At 37.6% G+C, this 26,912-nt stretch overlaps 1 protein-coding gene and 1 long non-coding RNA gene across 8 annotated transcripts in view, besides 1 other annotated feature; one reads left to right on the top strand and one right to left on the bottom strand.

The window, feature by feature from the left end:
* Nucleotides 1-26,912, bottom strand: part of MYO16 (myosin XVI) — a 712,290-nt gene continuing 685,378 nt past the window's right edge. For all 7 annotated transcript variants that reach the window (XM_011521062.2, XM_047430183.1, NM_015011.3 and 4 more), the window contains one exon: nucleotides 1-1,397. In XM_011521062.2, the coding sequence (XP_011519364.1) occupies nucleotides 1,170-1,397 (228 nt within the window). In that variant the 3' untranslated portion in view covers nucleotides 1-1,169. The remainder of the gene's footprint in view (nucleotides 1,398-26,912) is intronic.
* On the top strand, nucleotides 1,386-26,217 carry LOC124903207 (uncharacterized). Its single transcript, XR_007063864.1, has 2 exons — nucleotides 1,386-6,592; nucleotides 18,511-26,217. It is a non-coding gene; the product is annotated as an uncharacterized LOC124903207 (long non-coding RNA).
* Nucleotides 18,574-19,073: an enhancer, noted in NCBI's record as "H3K27ac hESC enhancer chr13:109841281-109841780 (GRCh37/hg19 assembly coordinates)". NCBI's record gives its function as "activates a minimal SCP1, AML or CMV promoter by ChIP-STARR-seq in primed H9 embryonic stem cells {active_cell/tissue: H9 hESC(primed)}" and the evidence as "EXISTENCE:reporter gene assay evidence [ECO:0000049][PMID:30033119]".

Raw genomic sequence — 26,912 nt, 5'->3', positions numbered from 1 at the left:
TAGAAGAACACAGTTGTACCTCTTTATTGGCACAGTAACTTTTCAAAGGCTGGTATGAATAAAAAGTTCCAAGTAGCAAGACAAGGTGGTCTGGAGCCACTGCTCAGAACTTTCCGACAGCCGACGAAAGCACATCAATGAACAAGGCCTTGCATTATGGGAGGGTTGAGGATATACAGTGAGGGAATCATGCAGTGTAAGTCCCGGGGGACGAGCGCTGTGCGATGCAGCCCCTACTGCTCAAACCAGTACATGGCAGCGTGCTCATTTGTACTGTGTAGGCCTTTGAATGAATATGATCATTTTACACCACCGGCTATGGATTTGAAGCCATACGTGTTTAACCGTGTGCCATGTGATTTCCTGTGATCTATGCTGAAGTCGGGAGGTGAAATTTAACTAAAGGGTACACAATCCACTTATCCAGAAATACAGGGCATAGGAAAGAACAGCCTCCTCATCCATGAGTAACACCTAAAACATGGGGCTCAATTCATAGTTTTGCAAGGGGTGACACTGGCGAAGCTAAAACAACAATGTAGTTTCAAGATTTAGGTGCGTTAGGTGAAAAAAAAGGACTGTGGAGGAAAAAAATAATCTAGAAATGATTTTTTAAAATCTGTATTTTGAAGAAAGGAAGCACCACCAATTGCATAAATTTATAAAATTACAGTAATAAACATGTAAATAATTATCAGGTTTATAATACCAATAAAACACAAGTAGCTACAAAGAAATAAAATATATGTCCCGTATACTGTATTATAATAAAACCATTGGAAGTACAATAAACAGACTGTTGAACCGTAGAAAAACAACTGTACAGAGTGTGCATGGATTGCTCCTTTCCTCCGCTACTCTCTCGCTCTGGCCACGTCCACACTTTTCCCAGCCTCTCTCTTGCTACCTAGGGGTAGCACAGAGCCGTAAATGAGGAGCTTGAAAATCAGAGTGTATCACCACGAGATGGATAAGAAAGAACCCACACACACACACACAAACACACACACACACACACGGGATCTCATATATTTAGTGTCTGTGTCCTGTGCTTTTTTTGTCTAAATGCGTGGAGAGAAGCCCCAGCGCATGTCAGAAGGCAGCCTTCTGTTGTTGCAGCCCGGAATCAGTAGGCAGTTCTATTTTGTAAGTCTGCAGTTCAGGCCACATCAAATGGTGGTGTCCCAGAGCTCAGACGGCAGCCTGTTGCAGGAGGCCCCTTCCGGCTTCTTCAGAAGGCTGGGCTTCTTGCAAGGTGGTGGGGGAGGCACCCTGGGCTCAGCGTGGTGCAGGATCTGCTGCCAGTCTTGTCCTTCCTCACAGAGCTTTCTCCTCCAGTCCAAGAGTTCCTGCAGGGCCACACTTTCATTCTCTGAGAGCCTCAGCTGATGGATTACCTGTGGGAGGAAGAGGGGCAGAAAAAACAGGTAGCACCAAATATTGTGAATGAGTATGAAGTGTGATAGCAACACCTGGATACAAAGGGGCAGGACTGGTGCTGAAAGAGGCAGCCTCTTTCCTCAATCTCCATGCACTGCTGCCTCTGGAAACAGCACTGGGCTAGAGAGGCTGTGAATTGCTGAGTTAAGGCAATGACTGCAACAAAACATTGGGAACTAGGTAGAGTGTTAAGGTGTGCTGCACCTCCAGAGGCTACAAGAAAGAATCAAATGTCTGCTTGACCTATGCCCTCGATTACTGTGTACATTCTTATGGCATCTTGTACTTTCTCTTCATTTAATTTCTATCCATAATAGATGTTCTCCTATTAACAGAGCTTCCTCAAGCGTCACTCCATCCTCGGAGCTGCTCCTCCATCTGTCCACATAGTTAATAGTCAAACATGACTATTAGGGTTACATGACCTCACTTCCGACCATAAGGCATGGACCCAAAGATGGACCCCTACTCATGAGGGTCCGTTCATAGACAATACACAATCACACCACACTCATGTAGAAAATGTTTTCAAGCATTAGGTGTTCCAAAAGGCAGTCACTAAAATATCCAATGAGCTCATTCAAGGCGGGCTAGCTGTGCTTGAGAATATTTGAAGCCTCTTTGGTGTATCTACCTGCCTGCTCTATTTGGTGGCAGTGAGACAAAGCAATGAGCTAAATTAGCAACTGTGTACTCTCAGACGCTGAGCCCTCAAAGATGGGAACATTATGGGCCTTTGCAGGAAAGCATCAAAACATGTAACTGTATTGGCTACATCATCTTGTGTCACTATGGCCCCTGAAGAGAGACACCCTGCAGACCAAGCTTACCCCCTGACTTCAGCTAGGGCACAAGACAAGCTGGCTATGTAGCTGGGGTCACCCTTCTTCTGCCAGCCGCCAGAAGTCTGTAGTAGCTGGACATTGCAGATATCAATTTTTCTGGCAATTCTAAGGAAGTATACTGGTTTAAAAAAAAAATGAGATTCTGGAAATCCGAATAGGAATACTGGGGAGAATTCAGAGGAAATGAGATGACTCATCCTACCTCCAAAGCACTAACTACTTTGTTCCAGCACTTCTTCTATCTCATCACAACCCTCTCCATTAAAATGAGAGAAAATAAAACAAAACAGAACACAAGTGGTTATGCACTTATGTAGAAAACAGTCACTTGAAAGCAGCAAAGGGAGTGAGTGTTCCATCCAGGCCCAATTCTAACACCAACACCTGAGCCTACTGTTTCCCCCAGAAAGAGGATTTTAAAGGCTGGGATCAAGGAGATGATGTTTACAGCATGAAGGTCAAACCCATATTCAGAGTCTGTAACTAGAGTTCTGGAGCTGGTTATTAGTAAAAGGAGCCTCCCCAGTTGAATTTACAGACAACCAGAGGAAAGAAGAGCTTAAGGGTAGAAAAGAGGACTATGGTTACTCAGTCCCTAAAGCAATTTCTAGACATAACAGAGAGTGAGCTGCAGAGCAGAGTGGGCCTCTTAAAAGGGTATTTTTTTTTTATTCTTTAGGGCTGCATCAGAATGGCCTGGAAATGAGAAATTCTGTTGGGCAGATGCTTGTGGAAGCCAGATTGCTTCTACTCTCAGCAGAGTGAGCCAAGAAAGCAGGGTGGTGGGAGCTTGCATGAAATCAGGTTATTTAGTGAACACTTTGGCTACACGTGTGCTAGGTGCTTTCGTAAGCACCTTCCAGGCATTAACTCGTCAGCTCTTAAGAGCCCTGTAAAGTGGGTACTTCTATGTTGCAGATCAGGAAACAGGAACAGGGCAGTCAGGTAATCTGGCCAAAGCCACATGGAAAATGACAGATCCTGGCAGCCTGGCCCAAGAGTCCATGGGATGTGTTTCCATTTGTTCGCATCATCTATAATTTCTTTCAAAGTGGGCTAAGGACATGAGTAGACAATTCTCAAAAGAAGATATGCTTTTAGCTGTGAGTCTACTGTGCTTAACCCAACTATTGTGGTCTAGGATCTGATACAGGCTAAGGATCAGAGTCCCCTGTACCATGTTCCTCTTCCCTTCTTTTTCTGAATGGGACCACAGTCATCTATGTTTGTCCAGGAGTGTGTGCCAGCTCCTCCGTCATCCTCCACCAGTGTGTGCTGTGCTGGTTACATTCCCTTCAGTCTCATTAGTGTGGACATGGAACATTCATATTTATGTTCCTTGGCACACACTCAGCATACAGTAGTGATCTCTGAAAACAATGTCACCAGATCAGGAAACAACATTTAACTGATGGAAGAATATCGCTACCATGTCAACTGATTATTTTCCCCAAGTTTTCTTAAGACACCATGTTTCCTAAATGACACAACTTCATATTCATTTATTTAGAAAACAAACTGAGGAACGTTCACTTCTGGAGAGCTATAGCATGTTATTGTTCCTGTTGTAAAAATTTCAAAAAAGAGTCATTTTTCTAAAACATCAGGAAATTCTGACAAATGGAGAGAATTCCAGATGGAGTGAAGCTTTTTGAGGTGAACAGATAATTACCAGCTGCTTTTTTCCTCCCGGGGACATTTGCCAATTCTGAGCATTTCCCCAGATCCAGAGAGTTTTTTCTGGAAGGAAGATAAACCACATGATATTTTGGAGTTTCATGGGACTAAAGAAACAAATTGGAAACTTATAGGTCCTCAAATGCACAGCCATCGTCCACAGGGGACACTCATTTAGCTGTTCACCTGCATGGGTGATGGGCGCCCTAGGCCAAAGTTTATAGAAAGCAGAATGAAACCTCCTACAGTGACAGAGGTGCTTCAGAAGTAAAACCCTGGCAGGGGTGATGATGGCCTCTAGCATGTGACCAGTCTCATCTTAAAACATTTTCTGGATTTTGAAAGTGTGTGGGGCACAAGGCTGCAGAGTCAGGCTGGGAGCTCTGAAACACAGGGCTAGATTTGCTGTCATCTTTCAGGGCTGAGGAACAAAGACCTCGCAATGAAAGGCAAAGGCGGATCAAGCCTGAGGATTAGGAGAGAACCAGGGGTAGACTGGTTCTCCAGCACAGCCCAGCGAGGAACTACAGTAAGAGTGAAAGCTGATGTCTTCATGGAAACACTGGAAGCCAGAAGCCAACATGTTCCTGGTTAAATTACTGAGAGAAAAAAAAAAAAAGTCAACATAAAATTCTACACTGAATAAAAAATACCCCTCGAAAATGAAAGTGATAAGATTGTTTGGCTTTTTTCTTGCTAATTTGTTTGAGCTCCTTGTAGATTCTGAATATTTGTCCTTTGTCAGATGTATAGATTGTGAAGATTTTCTCCCACACTGTGGGTTGTCTGTTTATGCTGCTGACTATTCCTTTTGCCATACAAAAGTTCTTCAGTTTAATTAAGTCCCACCTGTTTGTGTTTGTTTTTGTTGTATTTGTTCTTGGGTTCTTGGTCATAAAGTCTTTGCCTAAGCTAATGTCTAGAACAGTTTTTCTGATGTGATCTTTTAGAATTTTTATAATTTCAGGTCTTAGATTTAAGTCCTTGATCTATCTGGAGTTGATTTTTGAATAAGGTGAGAGGTGAGGATCCAGTTTCATTCTCCTATATGTGGCTTGCCAGTTATCCAAGCACCATTTGTTGAATAGGGTGTCTTTCCCCACTTTATGTTTTTGTTTGCTTTGTTGAAAATCAGTTGGCTGTAAGTATTTGGGTGTATTTCTGGGTTCTTTATTCTGTTCCATTAGTCTATCTGCCTGTTTTATACTAGCACCATGTTGTTTGACTATGGCCTTATAGTATAGTTTGAAATCAGATAATGTGATGTCTCCAGATTTTTTCTTGCTGCTTAGTCTTGCTTTGGCTATGTGGGCTTTTTGGTTCCATATGAGTTTTAGGATTGCTTTTTCTAGTTCTGTGAAGAATGATAGTGGTATTTTGATGGGAATTACATTGAATTTGTAGATTGCTTTTGGCAGTATGGTCATTTTCACAATGTTGATTCTACCCATCAAAGAGCATGGGATGTGTTTCCATTTGTTCGCATCATCTATAATTTCTTTCGAAGTGGGCTAAGGACTTGAGTAGACACTTCTCGAAAGAAGATACACAAATGCCCAACAAACATATGAAAAAATGCTCAACATCACTACTGGTGAGGGAAATGCTAATCAAAACCAGAATGTGATACCACCTTTCTCCCACAAGAATAGCCATTATCAAAAAATCAGAAAATAATAAATGTTGGCATAGATGCAGTGAAAAGGGAGCACTTCTACACTGCTGGTGGGAATGTAAACTAGTAAAACCACTATGGAAAACAGCATGGAGATTCCATAAGGAACTAAAAGTAGAATTACCATTTGACTCAGCAATCCCACTACTGAGTATCTACCCAGAGGAAAGTAAGTCATTATACAAAAAAAATACGTGCACATGCATGTTTATAGCAGCACAATTCGCAATTGCAAAAATGTGGAACCAGCCCAAATGCCCATCAATCAATGAGTGGATAAAGAAGCTGTGGTATATGATGATGTATGTGATATATATATACCCCATATATGATCATATGTATGATCATATATATGATATGTATGATGTATAGATATATGATGTGTGTGTGTGTGTACATATATATATATATGATGGAATACTACTCTGGCATAAAAAGTAATTAATGGCATTTGCAGCAACCTGGATGGGATTGGAGACTATTGTTCCAAGTGAACTAACTCAGGAATGGGAAACCAGACATTGTATGTTCTCACTTATAAGTGGGAGCTAAGCTATGAGGATGCAAAGGCATAAGAATGACAGAATGGACTTTGGGACTGGAAGGAAAGGGTGGGAGGGCATGATGGATAAAAGACTACAAATTGGGTTCAGTGTACACTGCTTGGGTGATGGGTGCATCAAAATCTCACAAATCACCACTAAAGAACTTACTCATGTAACCAAATACCACCTGCTCACCAAAAACCTATGGAAATAAAAGAAATTTAAAAAGAAAGTGAAATAAAGACGTTCTTGGACAAACAAAAATGAGGGAATTTGTCATCAAACCTCTTACATTAATAGAAAGAATAAGATTTTTTTTTTTTTTTTTTTTTGTAGAAGACGATGATTCCAGATGGAAAAAATGGAAATGTAAGAGGGAATTAACAACACTGGAATTAGTAAACCCATGGGTAACTATAAATTATATGCTTGAAATGTTTATAGACTTTAAATTACATGAATAACACAAGTGCATGCCATCAATAGCTGCAAAACCTTGTTATTGGGATTAAGTAGAGTTTCGAGGTCTTAAGGTTCTAGCAGTATTAGAAAGTGGTCAAAGTGATCAAATCTGTTAGGAAGCAATGAGTAAAGGATGCATGTTGTCTTCTCTTGTGAAATTACTAAAAGAATAATATAATATTTAATCAAAGTTAATGTAACAGTGAAATAATAAATATCCAATTAATCTAAAAGAACGCAAGAACTGTAGAGAAAAGGATATGAAAATAGAGACCAATTCCTAACAAGACAAAGTAAAGCATAAAAACTAGACAAACAAACAGAATCCAAATCTCTACCCAGCAGTTGGTGTTACTCTTCCATCTCCTTATGGCATATGCTGTATTTATCTCAATGCTAGTGTTTGATAGACCATACAACTCTGTGCTTACACCAAGCACAAAATACATCCACTCCAGATTTCCTCTAAATCCTAAACTCTTTTCAGCAGTGTTTCATAGTGACCAAAATATACTAGATGTGACCCTCTGCTTAACCTTCATAACAGGAACAGACTTAAAGATTTGAGTCACTCTATAGAAGCATAGCAGCAGTGCCAATCTGCTGAGAGTGACTTTCAGTGGCTGCTCATCTGAATTAGGCTTGTCGGGAAGGATTTTGACAAAAAAAAAAAAAAAAGTCCCAGATCCCCTGAGTCATTGCTTCTCTTTTTGGAAAAAAATGCTGTCTTACCCTTTCAAAGCTTCTCAGTGTTTACTAAAAATATCTGAATTCCCAAGTACCTTATAAAAGGTGAAACTTACACACATAAACCCTTTGAAAGCCCTTTCTTAATGAGGGTATTGATGTATTGAATAATGTAGTGAGTACAGGACACCATATTTGAATCAACAAACAAGAACTTTGCATAGTTCTTTGATAAGCAAAAATTTGACTGATGTTTGCAATAACCAATTAACATTCAGAATAAACCCCTTTATTGAGGGATTTCATGGAAATTTTCTTCTTTTCTATTACAGACATTAATAGCTATTGAGTAAAATCTACTAGGTATATAAGAATTGCCAGAATGGCTGAAATAAGATGCTAACATCTTATTTTATTGATCTTGATTTAAAATAAAACCAAAGAATTTTCATAGGTTACGTTATAATGAAGGTTATAATTCTATGTAAGACTATGATAGGCCACTACCTTCAACCTACCTGAGAGGGCATTTTAAAATCATCATCTGTGAGCCAAGAAATAGAAGATCAGAAGAGGAGGCCAGTACTCCTTAACAATATTTAATCTGCTTTATTTCCATCTATTTATTAGATTCTGAAACACAAGAATTACTCTTCTCATAGAGAAAAAGCTTTAAAATTTTAGAATAGCAAACAAATACAATCATGAATGCTATCTAAATGGCAGTCCAGTACTATATAAACAATACAAAGCATTTAAAATAGTCAGTGCTGTAAAATCATGTAAATCAGTGTTTATCCATTCTTTAAACTTTATGTACTACTGGTAACAACAAAAACACTCATGGCTTCCTTTACCATTATTTGATATTCACAGTAAATTAAATATTATCATTAAAAAAGCAATAGTGATTTTGTAACAAAAAGCTTTAGTTTTGATACCATTTCTTTTTGGAAAGAGAAAAACTGCCTCTGGGGATTAAGGATGCTGCTGGCAGCGTGAGTTTGGAGTCAGCTGGCTTCACACTGAGTATAATTTATCCTGATTTGTTTGTACAATATAAAGGATGCCATAGTGGTATCTTTTAACTTAAAGCTCATTTTCCATTGCTTTAAAAGATTTATTATCTTCACCCCATATCACCACTTCAGATAATGAGTCACTTATTTATTTTCTTTTCTGGAACTTTTTATAATAGTCTTTGTACACAGAATCATTATCTTTTAGAACCAGAAGGCAAGTGTTATGACTGGGAAAGTACAAAGGACTCCACATCTGCAAACCTTCACGCTTGCATCGTATGCCTCTGCTCTAGGAGCTCCCTGCTTCATGAATGGGACAACTGAGCTGCTTTTCAAGGAGCTTTTAGACAAACAAAACACGTGTCTTAAAGTGTTACCCAGGGCACAGAGATGGAGCGAGGCAAAATGACGGTATATATATATATATATATATATATATATATATATATATATATATATACCTTTTTTATTAAACCATTTACTTGAGAAAGGAAGCTTTATGGAGGAAAGTCTGAGGAGGCTTCACAAGTTAATTAACCTTTGATCTGAATATTGAGAAGTGAGATGGGCACCTAACCAGTTAGAACAGGGGAGAAGAACATGCGAGGAGAAGGGTTTCCACAGGATTTGACGTAGACAAGTGACAGGAATGACATTAAACTTCATTTTCTATGATGAAATGACAAACCCATGTGGAATTGGAGGATGGTTTTGAGCACAGTCAGTGTGGCTGAAAAACCTGGCCTCTGGAGCCGGAATGCCTGGGATGGAACCCAACTATGCAAGCTACTTGTGCAATGCTGAACAAGCATTCGCTGGCTTCATCACCTGTAAAGTGGGACCACAAGAAATTACCTACCTTGTAACAACTTGATGTGGATTATATGAGTCACATATGCAGGTGTCTTAAAAGAAAGCCTCACAAAAGTAGTGAGTGCTGTTTAAATATGAGCTGTTACAGTTGTACCATGGTTAGCTCCTTGACTTGAACAAAATCCTTAAACACTGCTGAATTATGATTATCCTGATGACTCAGTTAAGTAATGCTAAATAGGTGCACTTCTCACGATTTATGGCCTTTTATAAATATAACATAATATATTCTTTTATTACTAAAAAGCAACCCAGAAAATACTGAGCAACACATTAGATTTAAAACATAACTATGATTTATATATGACTCAAAACTAAATAAAGTTCTACAGGAAGAAAATTAGAAAACTCTTACAGCTTTTTTGAATTTTAGGGGTAAGATAACAAAGAGTATGAAGAGATTTTAGTGACCTATTTAAACAGTTGTTAAATGCAATGCTTCTGAAGTTAGGGTTTGTATTTTCAGGAGTCCTCAAATTCCTTCAACAATTTAAAATTTATTTGCGTTTATATATTCATGATATCTTTTTAAAGTAATTGTACTTTGTATCATCTTGAATATCTATATTTCAAGCTAGTACTCAATGAGATTTTTTTATGTCTTTGTATTTTATTTATGAGTAGGATGACAGAAGTAATATTATTTATACTGTTGTAGGTTAATGAGAAAAGAGCAGATGGATTTAATATGTAATAGATTTTCTTTTTCCTGCAAGAAAAGCTATGTGATATTGCAAAGCAGGGTAAGTTCAAAAGCTGGCTGTCATTTCAAATAGAAATAGTGGTAGGGGCTTGGTTAGCCAGTGGCATAAAGTGGGAAAAACACACAAAGCTTGACGGAACTTGATGAATAGAATAGTCAGCGCACGTTTCCAACAGTCATGTCATTTCAGCTAAACAAAATCTCATGCCTAACATCAATGTTGTGAATTTTACCTTTATTTTGCTTTTGTAGACTTTTATTCTACTCAAGTGGTCAATTTGCCTTGGTTTTATAGCTGAAATGAAAGCTCAAAGAGTAAAGAGATTATTTGTAACACTGTATGTCTATACATTTAATTAACATTGTAAAATAATTTAAGAAACTTTAAGGGTCAAGGGGATGTTTTTCTTTCATTTAAAAAGTATCATGTATATTACAAGAGTTGGAGTAATGTTGATCTATTGCATGTGGGTAGAATTAGTTACTGCCTCACAAGACTATGGTGTCCTTGGAGCCTAAAATGAGTAAATTAATCTCTACCCAGCACAAAGTATCCAGTGTACTTGCTTAGAGAGTTTAAAGGGAGTAAGCGTATGAATGCATGGCCCACGTTTGAGAGAAGGGAGAAACATTATCACACAGTATTAAATGTGTGGGTCCATTTAAAAAAAAACCTTGGGGGTAAATGGGCAACTCAGCTCCATCAAGTCCAGGAAATAGAACAGAAGAGAGTGCCTTCAAGCAACGCCAGGCTTCCCCTGAACGCATTCTTACACGTGAGTTGTATTTCACATTCACAGATTCAGCGAAGGGTTTTTCAAACACTAGAAAGCTCTGGGAACTTATTAAAAATGCTCGGCTGCTCTGAAATCACATGGGGTGTGGGTGGTCCCATGCTCGTTTCTTGCTGTGAATTCAACATGCCTAAATAGATCTGAATGGCTAGTGGGCGGAGCCGCTGAAGGAGAGGGGGACAGTCACCACAGACTCCTGGTGGCCAAAGAATGCAGTGCCTTAGGGTTAAGGGATCAAATAAACTTACATGTCCAAAATTATTATTTTGGGATGGCACGGAAAAAATTGTACTGTTCTATAATAGGTACAAAATCCAGGCATTTAGAAAAGTGCACAGGCTCTCTGACAGTTTAATGTCTTTAAAAACAAAATTGTTTGGTGAATAAGCTAATAAGACACTTGCTAGTTATTCTGTAATTTTTATTTTTAAAGTTGACATTCAAAAGAGAGCTGAAAGCTTCAAAGTTTGGGGGCCACTTGCAGTTCTGTAATGAGAGAGCAAAGTCACGGTTTATACGGAGCTAGGAAAACCTGACGTCCAAAGAAATTGACAAAGGGATCCATTCCACAAACATTTGTGGCCAAGGCAGTATTACTGGAGCCCTTAGGGTGGGGCCAGCATTTCTCATAAACAAGCTCCTGTCAGTTTGGACCACCTAAAATGTGGCCTGGGTTAAACCTCTAACACCCCTATGTTCTTTCTGCTCTTAAGACAGGATTATGTAAGGTAAAAGCTAAGTCATTTACATTCAATGAATGTCTGTGCCTCTGAACACCAGAAAAGCATTTCAAGCTCCTAGGATATGCAAACAGATATATAAATGATCATGGTCCAGACCCATTTCCCTATGGGTTGGGATACTCACCCTCAAACAAATTCCCTTCTATTTATTAGGTTTTCAACAAGAAGATTCCTTCATAGAAATGGTAATTCTTAGAAAATTACAATGCTACTTAAGATACTGGTGATTACTAACTCGACAACTCAGTACGGGGATTTAAAAAATGATTTTATTCTGTTATTGAGAAAACCTTGGTGATTTGAAATTTAGACATTCAAGACATGAATCTACTTTCCATTTCTGTACTTTACTGTAAAGAATCTTGTGTCTCTCAACATCTAGGAGACATCAATTAGATAAGAAGATGGAGTTTGATAAAGTGATGTAAAAACGGAGGTGATGCCAGTGTTTTCTCTAAAGTGAGACACTTGTAATTAGTTCACTTATTTTCAGGCATTACAAAACACTAAATCTCTCACAACCTGGGTGAAAATACAACGTGATCTAAAGGCTTAATGAGGTTTATTGATTATTTATATATTTACTAATTTTCAATAATTTCCTATTGGACAATTATGAGGTCTAGGGCATGAACCAATTAAACATAAGATATAAAATTTCTTCAATTTCTATGGATATGCATTCCTGTGGATCATATTAATAAATGTAAATTAATAATTTGCTACCGATTTTTAACTTAAGTCTTTCCCTTCAAGGATAAAAATAGTCTTTGTTAAATAATTCATATGTAAAATCATGTTGCTGTTCATTTGTCACAGAATTGATTTTTCTATTGACTATTCACCCAAAGGTGAAAAGAGGCATTTACTGACATTTATGGAAATTAAAAGAAGGAAATGTCTTGGCTGACTGAATAGTGAATATTAGTGTTTCAAATGCAAATCGCATTTCTACTTGGAGCTAACAAGATGTTGAAGAATAAAAAATGTTGAAAAATGAAATTTGAAAAAACAGAGTCTATAAAACCGAAGTCTACTTAAATAAATCCTAAAGATATAGCATAAAGTGTGATTTTTAAAAAGTCTTTGATTAAAAGCTTACATATATCTACACTTCTAAAGAACCAAGAAAAATATCTGAAAGTCAAAATAGCACTTGTGGTGTTTTAAAAGAGTTGGTCCTTCCTAATTCAGAAATATTCATTTATATAGCAATACAATTAAATTCATTCTTGGGATTTTGTTTCTTTGTTGCTTAAGGTTTAAACAAAGGGGAAAATATCCTTTAAAAGGCACGTTAAAAGTTTTATTGGAAACAAGAGGAGCTATATCTGGACAATAGTGAGGGAAGGAAGCAAGAGAGAGGATTTGCATTTTTTACCTTATCTGGATGCTTTAATTTCTTAAAAAAAATCAACAACTATTCTTTACTTTTATAATAAGTAACATTATACTGGAACACACTTAGTATAATTTAAGTACCTTTTTTTTTTGCATTTGGCAGCTGATTTTAACCTCTCCACACATAGTTATGAGTAAAAATGGACTCTGATGAGTGAATGTATATGTTATACATTATACATTTATAACTGAAAGTTATAAAATAGAAACTTAAAAATTTTACTACAAATCATGCAATATAGTTAATTTGTGACATTTAGGATAAGGATCTTGTATGAACTCTGTTCTCTTGCCACTTTCTTTAGAGAGAAAAAAATCTGTCTATATAATTTGCTTGCTCAAAAATCTTTAATGCCACTGCCTTCCCCTAGCCTAAAGAAAGAATCAAGCCCATATGCTTTGAGAAAGTTCTGTATTTTCTGGCCACACTGAATTATTCTAGCCTCGTCATCATCCATTCTGACACAGTCTCTATATTTCAACCCAACCAGATATATGTGGAACACACCCTGGAATTCTACTTTTCTTCCCTACAGTCATCCTGGTTTGTACGTCCGAATTAAAATTCCCTGCCTGATAGATGCCCCCTCAAGGTTTCTAAAGCCCATTTCTAGTATCATCTTCATGATATCATTTATATCCTTAAAACATTTTCACGTTAGTACTCTAGTCGACACTCACAACCGTGTGAAATATGCAGGTTCAATATCATTATCTTCATTTCACAGATGCAGAAAGTCACCTTTCAAGCCTAAAGTCACTTGGCTAGAAAGTGGTAGAGTCAAAATGCCATTTCAGGTACAATTGAGTTTAGTCAGTTTTTATATGTATTAATTACATTGCCTTCCAAAAAAGTTTTCCGTGTCAATCAATTAATAAATGTGCTTCATATGTTTATGAAAATGCAAGGAACTGTGGTGGGTTCTATAGGACTAAGCCAGATGCACACAATCTGACCACCTCCATCGAGGGGCTTTCATTCAAATTGGGTAACAAGACATAAGTGCATAAAAATTATATGAATAAAGATGCTTAGACAAGACACAAGTACAAAAATTTCACGAGGCAGGATAGCATTAATTGATTAATAACTTATGCATGTCATTACTGCTGTTGGAATACAGAAGAGAAACAACACATTTAAAGGCAGTATGGCCACTGGGATATGTGATTTGATCTGGATTGAAAGGATGACTAGGACACAACAAGAAGAAAGGCTAATTGAGTTGAGTGGTATAACAAATGGTATTCATATTTTGCTTACATGTATATAATTATTATAAAACCAAGAGAGAGAAAAGCTCTGTGAGATACGGGTATAGGATTTGACAGTTGGCTTTGGAGTAACAATAGAGTCGTGAATAACTAGGAAAGGAGGTAAGGCCTAGGAATAAAGGTGAGGAAAACAAGCGTCAAAATCATGGTAGCATGGCACACATAGCCTTCAGAGGAGAGAGGACTCAAGTAGAAGGATACTTTCCCCAACCTGTTACATTAGCCAGTGTCTTAATTTACATTGTTTTGCAGGACACAGTTTAACTATTAATTTAGTAATTTCTCAAATTTTTTTTTCCAGAAATAATCATGTTATTTAATCGTGTGTAACAGTATTAAATAGAATCAAATATGAATGAAGAAAATAATTTTAAGAAGCTGGATTGTAACAGAACCCAATCCAACTAGATTTTAAAACATCAGCTATAATTGGAAAGGGGCACAGATTAGCAAATCAATGGGATCCATTAGCAACTCCAAAATGCAGTGACCTGTTAGAGTCACCCACTTGAGAACTGGAGGTAAGAGAGGCACTTCTGTATCATTAATAAATGCACTCAGAAAATGCTGAACCTATTAAAATATTTCTATTTCTCAGGGTGCCCAATTTATTACAGGGAATTGACTTTTCCTTCAGCAAAATTAAGTTCATTTATTTTTAAAGAATTTTTAGGAGTTACAAACTTTATATACACTATTCTCTATACACTGTGTGTGTGTGAGAGAGAGAGAGAAAGAGAGAGGGAGAGAGAGAGAGAGAGTATGTATGAAGTGTGGCTTGGTGGAGCACCAACTGATCATTATTTTGTACTATAGCTTCTTATTAGCAATATTCCTACAATTCTGTCATTGGAAGACATGAAGAGGCATGATTTTGGCTATCTTAAAGAATAAAGATTATTGAATAATGGAAGCTAAACTTAGGTGCTATAAATGTTAATGCCTAACAGCAACAATAAAATATTAAGCAAATAAATGATGAAGAGGTCCCAGTTAGGTTACCCAGGATGTCATAACAGATAAATCATAAATATCAGTGGCTTTGCACAAAAGAAGGATATTTCTTGCTCATATTGAGGCCAGAATCTGATGAGTGGATGACCTTTCATGTCACCATAAGTAAACCTGAGTCTTGGAGGATTCTGAGTCTTGGAGGATTCTGTATCCAGCTTTGGGTTGAGAAAGGTCATAGAAGATAGTCAAGGTTGGGTTGCATGGGCTATGCTTGTAAGTGGTGCCCCTCACAATGGTTCTCATTCCATTGGCTAGTTTCAGTCAGATGACTACCCCTAACCACAAGGGATACTGGGACACATAGTTTAGCTTTGTGATTAAGAAAAAGAAGGCATGAATTTGGCAGGCACAGCATCTGCCACTGTGACTCTGGGCTCAATTACAGTGCCCTTAAGATAATGTCAGAACAAATAATGTGGGTACAAATGCTAGAGAAAAGAAAAACAGATGTCAGGAAGGATTAGGAGGGAAAAGAGGCAAGACCCTGCTAAAGTAGGCAAAATATAAAAGCAAATATTTTAAATTAATAGTCCTTTCCAGAAACAGATAGTAAAAATCACCTGCAAGTGTATAAAATTAATTTAAATCCACTTGGGCTTCAAAACCTAGGCTTTTTATATCATTGACTGCATGACACTTCTTTCCAATATCACAGCTCATCTGTTTTAGAAACAGAGTCAGAAATACAAAATGACAGTTTCAAATAATAATGCAATCATAAAAATCAGAGAAAAATCAGGTCTACTAGGTCTGCTGAGGACATAAAATACATACCTTCATCAGTGTTAGCTGACTCTATTTCAGCATAATGGAAATCCTTCTATTATTTTAGCCTGAATTTCGCTTTCAAAATTATCAGAAATATGGGGTCCAGATTCCCTGGAGTCTCTCTCCAACTCTCTGATATCTTGAGCAGAAACAGAACTATATGTCTAATATTTTCCACTTACAAAAAAAGGCAAACATTTAACCTTTACTTATACTCTGAACAGATTAAAGTTTCCAAACCGAGTAAAATGATTTTAAAGAAGGTTGTAATATGATATAGTCATAATTGGTATTTTATATTTAGCCTCTTGCCGTAGTTCATAACTGGAAAGTATCCCTTTCCTAGAATTAACACTTATAGTAATTTCAACCCCACTTGAACATCTAGTGACAAGTAGAGTAATCTCACTGCAGCCACACCAGCCTTTTTGCAATGCAGGCATGCTCCTACCTCAGGGCCTTGGCTGCTCCCTTTGCCTAGAACACTCTGCCCTGACGTCAGCACTGGTCTCTCCCTGACTTCCATATCTTTGCTCAGGAGGCTTTTTTTGATCCCTGATTTACAATTGCAACTCAGCCCAACCTTCTTCCTCACCACTCTCCAGTCTGACCCTCCCAACCCTGCTTACCCTGTTGAACGTTTTCTTTTTTCCATATGATTTTTTCCTTTTAGTGTATTACATATTTTACTTAAATATTGCCTATTTTTCCATGCTAGAATTTAACTTCTATGAGGGCAAGCAAGTTTGCTTTGTAGACAAAGTATCCCACGTGCCTAGACTTGTGCCTAGTACAAGCAGAACCTCAATAAACATCTTTTGATCAATGAATGAGCCTTTGAAAATTCAATTTTTTTTTTTTCGAGACAGAGTTTCGCTCTTGTCCCCCAGGCTGGAGTGCAGTGGCGCGATCTTGGCTCACCGCAACCTCTGCCTCTGGGGTTCAAGTGATTCTCCTGCCTCAGCCTCCCGTGTAGCTGGGATTACAAGCGCCTGCCACGATGCCCGGCTAATTTTTGTATTTTTAGTAGAGGCAGGGTTTCTCCATTTTGGCTAGGCTTGTCTCGAACTCTTGACCACAGATGATCCGCCCGCCTCAGCCTCCCAAAGTGCTGGGATTACAGACATGAGCCACTGCACCCAGCCTGAAAATTCAATTTTATGCAATCCACTCACTCGGAACTCAAAATGCTAAATATATATTATTATATGCTTTAAGTTGCTTTATGCATTGCTTATACATGGATGCATATAATTGAATGGAGTTACAAACCTTGCATATTATTCTTGATAGGTAATGTAAGGATGTTCCAGAGTGGTTTTCATCATATGTCACTTTCAAATTACATAATTTTAGAAGCCAATCACTGAATAAAATGTGACTTCACTTTAATTTCCTCCAACCAGTGAAACAACTGCCTGTGATCCTAATTAACAAGTTTATTGATACATTTTTAACATGGGATTAAATTTAAAATATCTAATAAAGTTAGGGAATAATATATCAGTCAGCTTCTCTTAATTCTTCTGGGGCTGCTACTGGTTAACAATTACACTGAGCTGACAAATTATTGTGCTTTGTGTTTGGAATTCAAAAGTGATTAAGATGCATTTAATGCACTCTCTATAAGCTCACAGGTCTATCAAGGTGCACATACACACACACACAAATGATTATATTACACTGACTGATTATATGTCACTGAGGTGACATACTCAGTGTTAGGAGGAAGCAGAAGCATGGCCTATGTTGCAAAAAGTGTGGAACAATTGTTATCCGTACAGAAAAAATGTAAAATTACATTGCTAACTCACACCATTCTCAAAAACAAAGTCCAGGTAGCTTAAATCCCTAAATGTAAAAAACAAACCTAAACTTTACAAAAATATAATAGGATAATATCTTTATGGCAGATAGCAGTAAAATAATTTTTTTTTCCTTAAAAATGTAGAAAGATTTTCTTAAACAGAACAACAAAAGTACAAACCCTAAAGGTAAGGATTAATCAATTTGACTATAATAACATTAAAACTTTACGTGGGATAAACACATAAACGGGTAAGCCTACTATAGTCTAATTCTCTCACTGATTACAACTAAAACTTTGTATAAAATACAAAACATCTATCTGAGGAATTGGGAAAGTTGAAAAAAAAACAACAACAAAACACAAATCGTGGTAGGGAATCAAAACGTAGAGAATGAAGGCAGAATAATGGCATGCTCAGGTAAAGAAAACTAAGATTTCTTGGGCCTACTCTAAATGAAATGCTAAATGGAGATCTTTAAGCTGACGTAAAATGATACCAGAAGGAAACTCAGAACTTCAGAAATGAAGGAGAGCAACAGAAATTGTAAATATTGAGTTAGCATAAAAGACGATTTTTTTTCCCCACTATTTTTTCCCTGTATGACTGTTGAAAGAAGAAGTTACAACATGGCCTGGGGGGTTTCAATGTACACAGATGTAGCACATGGTTCAACTGCTAAGTAAAGATGGGTGATAGAGGGTGAAGGGACCAAGACGGTTGACCAGGGTAGACTGAAATTAGATGTTCATATATTACAATTTTAATTTACCAATAGGTAATGTAAAATGGAATTTTAAAAATATCCAAATAATCTGAAAGAAGTCATCATAAGGAAACAGAAGAATGAAAACAGCAGGGACAATCAGAAAAACACGTAATAAAACTAATATACCTTGTAATGGTGAATATTGAGTGTCAACTTGGTTGGATTGAAGGATGCAAAGTATTGTTCCTGGGTGTGTCTGTGAGGGTGTTGCCAAAAGAGATTAACATTTGAGTCAGTGGACTGGGAGAGGCAGACCCACCCTTGATCTGGGTGGGCACCATCTAATCAGCTGCCAGCACTGCTAGAATAAAGCAGAGGGAAGAACATGGAAGGACTTGACTTGCTGAATCTTTTGGCCTTCATCTTTCTTCTATGCTGGATGTGTCCTTCTTTTTTTTTTTCATTTTTTTTAGACAGAATTTTGCTCTTGTTGCCCAGGCTGAAGTACAATTACACTGTCTCTGCTCACTGCAACCTTCGCCTCCCTGGTTCAAGCAATTCTCCTGCCTCAGCCTCCCGAGTAGCTGGGGTTACAGGCATGCACCACCACGCCCAGCTAACTTTTGTATTTTTAGTAGAGACAGGTTTTCTCCAGGTTGGCCAGGGTGGTCTCGAACTCCTGACCTCAGGTGATCCACCCAAGTCGGCCTCCCAAAGTGCTGGGATTACAGGCATGAGCCACTGCGCCTGGCCCTGCTTCCTTCTCTTGAACATTGGATTCCAACTTCTTCAGCTTTTGGACTCTTGGACTTACATCAGTGGTTTGCCAGGGGCTCTTGGGCCTTTGGTCACGGATTAAAGACTGCACTGTTGGCTTCCCTGCTTTTGAGGTTTTGGGACTCGGACTGGCTTCTTTGCTCCTCAGCTTGCAGATGGACTATTGTGGGACTTCACTTTGTGATGGTGTTGAGTCAATTCTCCCTAACAAACTCCCCTTTATATATTCATCTATCGTGTTAGTTCTGTCGCTCTAGAGAATCTATCTAATACATACCTAAATCTAACCATATCAATAATTACATTAATAGAAATGGTCTCATGAAAGGTTGTCAGATTGGATAAAAATAAATAAGACTCATCTGTTATGTTGCCTACAGAAATCTCATGTCAAATATAGAAAGATGAATACATTAAAGTGAAGGGGTGAATTTTTTGTGGGGAGGAGGCAAAAAGTTCTAAAATTACATTGTAGAGATAGTTGCACAACATTAAGAAGTTACGAAGAAACACTGAATTTTCATAACTTAAAGGCACGGGTTGTGTGGTATGTGAATTATATCTTGATAAAGCTATTTTTAAAAAGTAAAGGATGAAAAAATATACCTTGCAGACAATGAACAAAATAATGGAGTGGCTATATTAATTTCAGACAAAGTAGACTTAAGACAAAGAAATACAAATAAAAAATGAAATTGTATAATGATGAATAGATCTTCACCAAAAAAGATGCAATAATTTTAAAAGTCTTTGTATCTCAAATATAGCTTCCAAATGCATGAGGCAAAAACTGATGAAACCGAAAGGTGTGGACAAAGCCACAGTATAGTTGGAGACTTCTGTGCTCTTCTCTCAGGAATAGATGAAAAATGAACACAGAAAGCCAGCAGAGACATGGATGTGGACACAAGTAACCAACCAGACCTAATCCACACTTCCAGAAGACTCCACCCAATGGAAGCAGAATACATATTTTTGTTGAAGTGCCCAAGGAAATTTCAGCCAGACAGGTCATATCCTGGGCCATAAAAACATTTTAGTACATTTAAGAGAACTGAAATCATACAAGGCATACCCTCAGATCATAGGGGAATTAAACTAGAATTCAGCAGCAGAAAGGTACCTGGAAAACCCCAAATACTTGGAAAGCATCAGTATTAGCCAAAGAGAAAGTCCCATGGGAAATTAGAAAATATTTTGAACTGAATGAAAATGGAAACAAAACAAATTAAGATTTGTGGGATGCAGCTATTACAGTGTTGAGATGGAAATTTACAACTCTATTAAATGCTTTTATTAGGAAGAAAAGAAACACTTCAAGTCAGTGATCTATGCTACCTATTTAAGAAAGCAGAAATAGAGAAAATTAAGCCCAAAGCAAGCAAAAGAAAAGAAAATAAAAAACAACAGGAATCAATAAAACAGTAAAACAATAGAGAAAATCAATGAAATCAAAAGCTACTTTAAAAAAATCAATAGAATTGATAGACTTCTAGCTAAACCGACCAAGAAAACACAATAAGCAAAATGTTTGCCATGCATGAAACTGGCAAGGAATATTATCCAGAATATGTGGAAAATTCCTAACATCATCAAGAAAATCATGCAAACAAGTTGGGAAATAAGAAAAGGATGTATTTGGATTAACAAGTCTGAGAATATGTGAAAATACTGCTTGGCAACCAGGAAATAAAATAAAACCACAATAAGATCCATTTTACATTTATCATATTGGCAAAAATTAAATGAATAATTAAACCAAGTGTTTACCAGGAGAGATGGAAAACTTTACTCCCTTTTAGAAGTACATACATTGGTTTAACCTTTTAGGGGAGTAATTTGGTAATAACCACTACAGTTGAAAATGTCCATGAGCAGAAACTTAGCACTTCCATTTCTAGGGGAATCTTGGGCAATTTTTTTGTTTCCCCCAGTTGTAAGTTAGAGGCATTTTCAGTGATGTTAATTGTAGCATGGCTTGTAACATTGATAACTTGGAAATGATTTTGATGTAAGTTTTCCACTCACTTTGGTCAAACTGTAAACATGTTCTTAAGAAATGCCATGACCACATTTATATGGAACTTGTTTCTCAGAAAAGTTTCCAATGAAGGAGGCATGTTTGCACCTAAAAAGCAATATGATTGTGTGTGTTTGTGTGTGTGTGTGTGTGTGTGTTGAAAAGCTTATAGAGGCACTGGCCAGAATGTATGCTCACTTCCTTGGGTGCTGTAACTTCTAGCCCTCTAGTGAAGTTGTAAACTACAATATGACCTGCATATTGGCACTGAGCACAGAGCATCATCGATCTCCCTGCACCTTTCATGGAGATCACTGAATTAGGTTTTCTGTGGACCACAACACAACAGACCAGAGGAAAACACCATCTGCCTTGTGCTCATCTGTCCCCCTGAGGCACCACAGCACCCTAGGGCCAGCAGCAGCAGGTCGTGTGACACCTGCCCTTCAGTCCCTAATGCTTTCCTCTCCTCCTGAGCTTGCTCCCTGCCATGCTTGTTGAAGGAATATGAGTATAATTTTGCACTAAGTATGTGTCGGTCATCAATAGTTTCTTATTGTATCGATACCTCAGCCCTAAAGTTGTTTTTTAATTTAATTTTTTTTTGAGACACGGTCTCTGTTGCTTAGGCTGGAATGCAATGGTGTGAAGACAGCTCACTGCAGCCTCAGTCTCCTGAGCTCAAGTGATCCTCTTGCCTCAGCCTCCCAAGTAGCGGGGACTACAGTTGTTAACCCTAAAGTCTGTACATTTCACCTGGAGCTAATTCTTAGAATAAAATAACAAGTGGGAGATGCATGTATCAAAATGGAAAAAAAAGTCCCACCACAGCAAAAACAAGAAGCTGTTTGCAGAATAATCTGTAGAAAGTGAGATTTTTTTTTACACTTTGAAAGCATGAATAGCATTGGTTATTACTTGTGAATATTATATGATTTATGAGTACACCTATGCTCAGTAAAGGTGCAAACATGGATGAAGGGCTACGTGCAAACTTCATTGTGATGATTCACTTCTGGTGTGGTAGGCAGGGATGAGATTGAGAGCTAGGATACATGTTTTTCCAAAAATGTAGCTCTAAAGTAAATAATGCAAAATGTTAAGACTTATTAAAGGTGATGTTTCATTAATCACTGTTTTTTAAGTTTATACTATTCCATAATAAATCATATTTTAAAAATCACACATATAATAGATTTGACCAAAATCCCAGAAAAATATTGGGTTCTCTTGATCCAATCTAATCTCCTCCATATTTTGGATAGCATCTACAATGTTAAAATCAGAACTGGTTTTCAGAATATTGACCCTGCAAAGAAAGGAATACCATAATAACAAGAGCAAGTAAGCTTTTAGCTTTTTTTTTTTTAAGCACCTACAGTATTCCAGGCAGCATCATGCTAGGCATGTTACATATATTTTCTCTAATTGACCCCCAAAATTACTTTTTTGTGCACTTACATGATGAATGATGAATCTGGGATTCTTATCTAGTTCTTTTCTTATTTTCTTCACTTTAAAAACCAATTAAATTAATATTGAAATTGTTGTTACCTAGAATTTATAGTTAGCCAAATGTTTCTAATTACTTTGTTACTCCTCCACTATACAATAATATTGCTAACTGCAGGTTTCCCATCTAGAAGGTGAGCTTGCAGAAATATCACAAGACTTTTTCCTCTTTAAAAATGTAGTCACAGCCAGGTGCGGTGGCTCACTCCTGTAATAACACTTTGGGAGGGAGGGGGGCAAATCATTTGAGGTCAGGAGTTTGAGACCAGCCTGACCAACATGGTGAAACCCCGTCTCTACTGAAAAAAGTATATAAAAAATTAGCCGAGCATGATGGCATGTGCCTGTAGCCCCAGCTACTCAGGAGGCTGAGGCAGGAGAATCGCTTGAACCTGGGAGGTGCAGGTTGCAGTGAGCTGAGATTGTGCCACTGCACTCCAGCCCGGGCAACAGAGTGAGGCTCCATCCATTTCAAAAAAAAAAAGAAAAAAATTAGCCAAGTGTGGTGGCACGCGCCTGTAATCCCAACTACTTGGGAGGCTGAGGCAGAAGAATCACTTGAACCTGGGAGGTGGAGGTTGCAGTGAGCCGAGATTGCGCCACTGAACTCCAGCCTGGGACAGAGGGAGACTATCTCAAACACACACACAAACAAAAAAAAACATAGTCACTACTCTGACTTCTTATTTTCTCAAAATTTATGGCAATTAAATCCTCCTCACTGATAATAAATAGTGTCTTAATCAGAAAAAACTGTGCATTTATATACACTTATGTTGCATTAATAAATACAGTGCAATTTTATGATGGAAAAATACAAAATATAGGATATGTTTTTGTTTTTTATTTTCTAAATTTCTATTTATCTCTACTGGACATGACCTTTCCCTGTTGAAAATGCTGCCATTTCACACATCAACTTAATTTACTACCTTCATTTTTTGCACATAATCTGTAAGTCACGAGTGGTGAGTACGGATTCCCTGAACCTTGGCTGTGTGAAAGAGCTTTGTGTGCTAGATCTCCTTCTCTTTGTAGCTCATATATGGTTATATAAAATATATATTTATATATGTTTCCTTTTGAAAGGGTTATCTTACTTACGTTCCCTGACATATCTTTAGAATTATCGTTTAATGATTAAACTAAATATTTCCACATTTCATTATTTTATCTAACACACAATTTGTTTTAATTCCATGCTATAATATATTTCAGTCTATATAACAAATACAATGAATATAGAAAGAAGGCATTGGATTTATTTAGTGCTCTGCAACTCTTAACTTTGTTTTTATATGACATTACAAAAAGGTTTATTTGATCATTCAGTAAAGCAAACCACATAACAATTTGCTTTTTGATGTGAATCAATTGCATATTGATCTTATTATGGCTTTCATCGGCAGCTATGGCAGGAGTGAGCTGGATATTTATTAAGATCTTGGGTCCCAGATTGCCATTAGTTTATCAAAGACCATGAATGGTTTCTTACGATGAATACCTGAATATGATCAATATGCATAATAACTTTTTATGTTCTTTACAAAAACAAAAGAATATTTTTAAAAACTTGGCAAGAAATATGATAAATGCCCATAATGAAAATAAAAGAACATAAAGCACATGATATTACTGTGGAGAGCAGACTGCTGAGAAGAAGAATAAGGCATGAAGAAAAGGTGGTAGAGTTAAAATAGTAACATAAATAGAGATAGCCTATGCTTAATGAAACAATTAAACAGCTCATTTCTCAATGTCAAGTGTGGACCCCTAAACAGATGTGTAACTAGAAATTTTTATGCCAAGGGCAAGTACCAAGCATTTTTGTTTCTGCGTCCCCTTCTGCCATCATTCTGCCTTCAGGCCATCCTCCCACCTCCCTGTGACTTTCATGCTTTTGCTCTATTTATAAATCGTGGGCTTCCTGTGTCAGGTTACCTGGCCCTCTGAGTCGGCAGAGGATTGCCATCATGGCAAAAAATGCGAAGAAGTCATTCTTGGCTGGCTGATGCTGTCAGCATTCCCCCCCACCGCCGCTTAGCTTCTCACCACCGAGTTACTTCTAAAGGATTGCATCACGCCAAATAGCATAAACTTTTAAAAAAAGTAAAATCTCATAAAATGGTAAGTAGATAAATGTCATATTCTTTTCATAAATGCTGTTTAATTCCAAAGCTACTATAAAATACTATAACCTACGAAATTCTAGATTTGAGTCCTGGGAACTGCCACAAAGCTCCCTCAAGGGCCAGTGTGTGGAATTCCATGATGTCGTATCTCACAGCCAGTTTTATTCATGCCCAGTGCTTGGGAAGTGCAAAGGAACACAGCCCCATGCACAGCGCAGCAAATGTCCCAGCTTTTGCTAGTTTCAAACATTTTATGTAAAATTAATTTTCACTACTTTTATATAAAGCCATTATAGTTTTCAAATTAATAAAGTTATAATGCAGTACAACATCAACTATATTTTCTATATTTTTTTTACATAAACAACCACCGTATATTAAGGCTCCAGCCCTATCAGAAAATGTTTTGCATCTATTTTGAGAACAAATGAAGAGTTTGTACACTTAGTGAAAAAAATACTTGTTTGGATGTAAAACTTTATAGATAGTAACAATAAAATTAAATGTGTATATTAGTCAAAATTCTGATTTCTAAGCAAAGAAAACTAACCTTGGACATCTCAGGCAGGTAGAGGCTTCATTGGAAGGCTAAGGAAGGACATGAACTTCGACAAAAAGGTCTGGCGAGTGGGTGAGGTGGATTCAGGGGCTGATGGCTGGCGTGCTCTGAGCAAAGTTCTTCTCCGACTAATATTCTTCTGCTGGTGCTGCATGGAGCCACTACTGCCCAATGTCACCCCATGGAGCCAGGTCAATTGTTGTCCCTTCCATTATATGTCCCTCACTCTGCATCCATCGTAGGTAGGTTAACTGAGCCCATCTTACATGTGTTTGTCCAGCTGTCAAAGCAGGGGAGGAAGAGGGAGTCCCTTCCCTTGTATTTTCATCGTGGTAGGTGCGAAACTGAAATGTGAGACTGGCAGGAAAAAGCCAAATCACAAATGTCCATTATGGCTACTGAAGACTTTTATTTTTGAACCAAAAATTCTTTATGTTTTATGAAACAGGCCAGGTGCAGTGGCTCCCGCCTGTAATCCCAGCACTTTGGGAGGCCGAGGCGGACGGATCACTGAGGTCAGGAGTTTGAGACCAGCCTGACCAACATGATGAAACTCCATCTCTACTAAAAATACAAAATTAGCTGGGTGTGGTGGTGCACACCTGTAATCCCAGCTACTTGGGAGGCTGAGATAGGAGAATCACTTGAACCGGGAGGTGGAGGTTGCAGTGAGCTGAGATCATCCCATTGCACTCCAGCCTGGGCAACAAGAGTTAAACTCTGTCTCAAAAAAAAAAATAAAATAAAATAAATAAATAAATAAATTTTATGAAACAGTTGAATGACTCCTGCATTTCTTTTAATGGGTTATGATAAGTTCATTCTCAGAAACGGAACATATGATCTTGATTTCCATTCAAACTGTGGACTCAGTGAATTTTCCATATGATCTTTGGCAAATCACTGACTCTATTTTCTCTTTTCTTTATCTACCATAACGCCCAGACATTTTATCTTCCTTGAAGGGAGTTTATTAAAACTGCTGATGAGGCTAATGAAAATATAGACATCCTTAAAGAGAAATTTCATTTTTGGTCACCATTTAATTTTACTGCTACGTGCCCAATCTGTCCAGGACTGGATTTTATAGAATTTCTATTTAATTGCATTAGTAGAAAAGCTAAAAAGCTGGTTCCCTGCATGTGTCCATACTTCTTGTATAAATGTCACATGAGCAATAAATTCTGAAAGCCATTCAACACATAGTTTCACATAACTCTTACAGCTTCTCACCAGTAAGGAATCTGTCTCATCACGTGAGTGCCCACAATTTGCATGGAAGAAAATAAGCATGGTTTTCAGTTTCCTTGAGAAAAAGAATGTGCCCCAAGATGACTGGCAGTTCCTGCCTCATCAGGGATGTCTGCATTTGAAAACAAGGCCTCTTTGAAATCTGAGAATGGAAAATGATTCCCGATGACCTTTCTCATCTCTCTTTGATTCTTAGCCAAACACAGAGGAAAAGTCACAA

The sequence above is a fragment of the Homo sapiens genome, chromosome 13, assembly GCF_000001405.40.
Source record: "Homo sapiens chromosome 13, GRCh38.p14 Primary Assembly".
Lineage (NCBI taxonomy): Eukaryota > Metazoa > Chordata > Mammalia > Primates > Hominidae > Homo > Homo sapiens.
The sequence above is the reverse complement of the archived record's forward strand: the minus strand, read 5'-3'. Positions and strand labels throughout refer to the sequence as shown.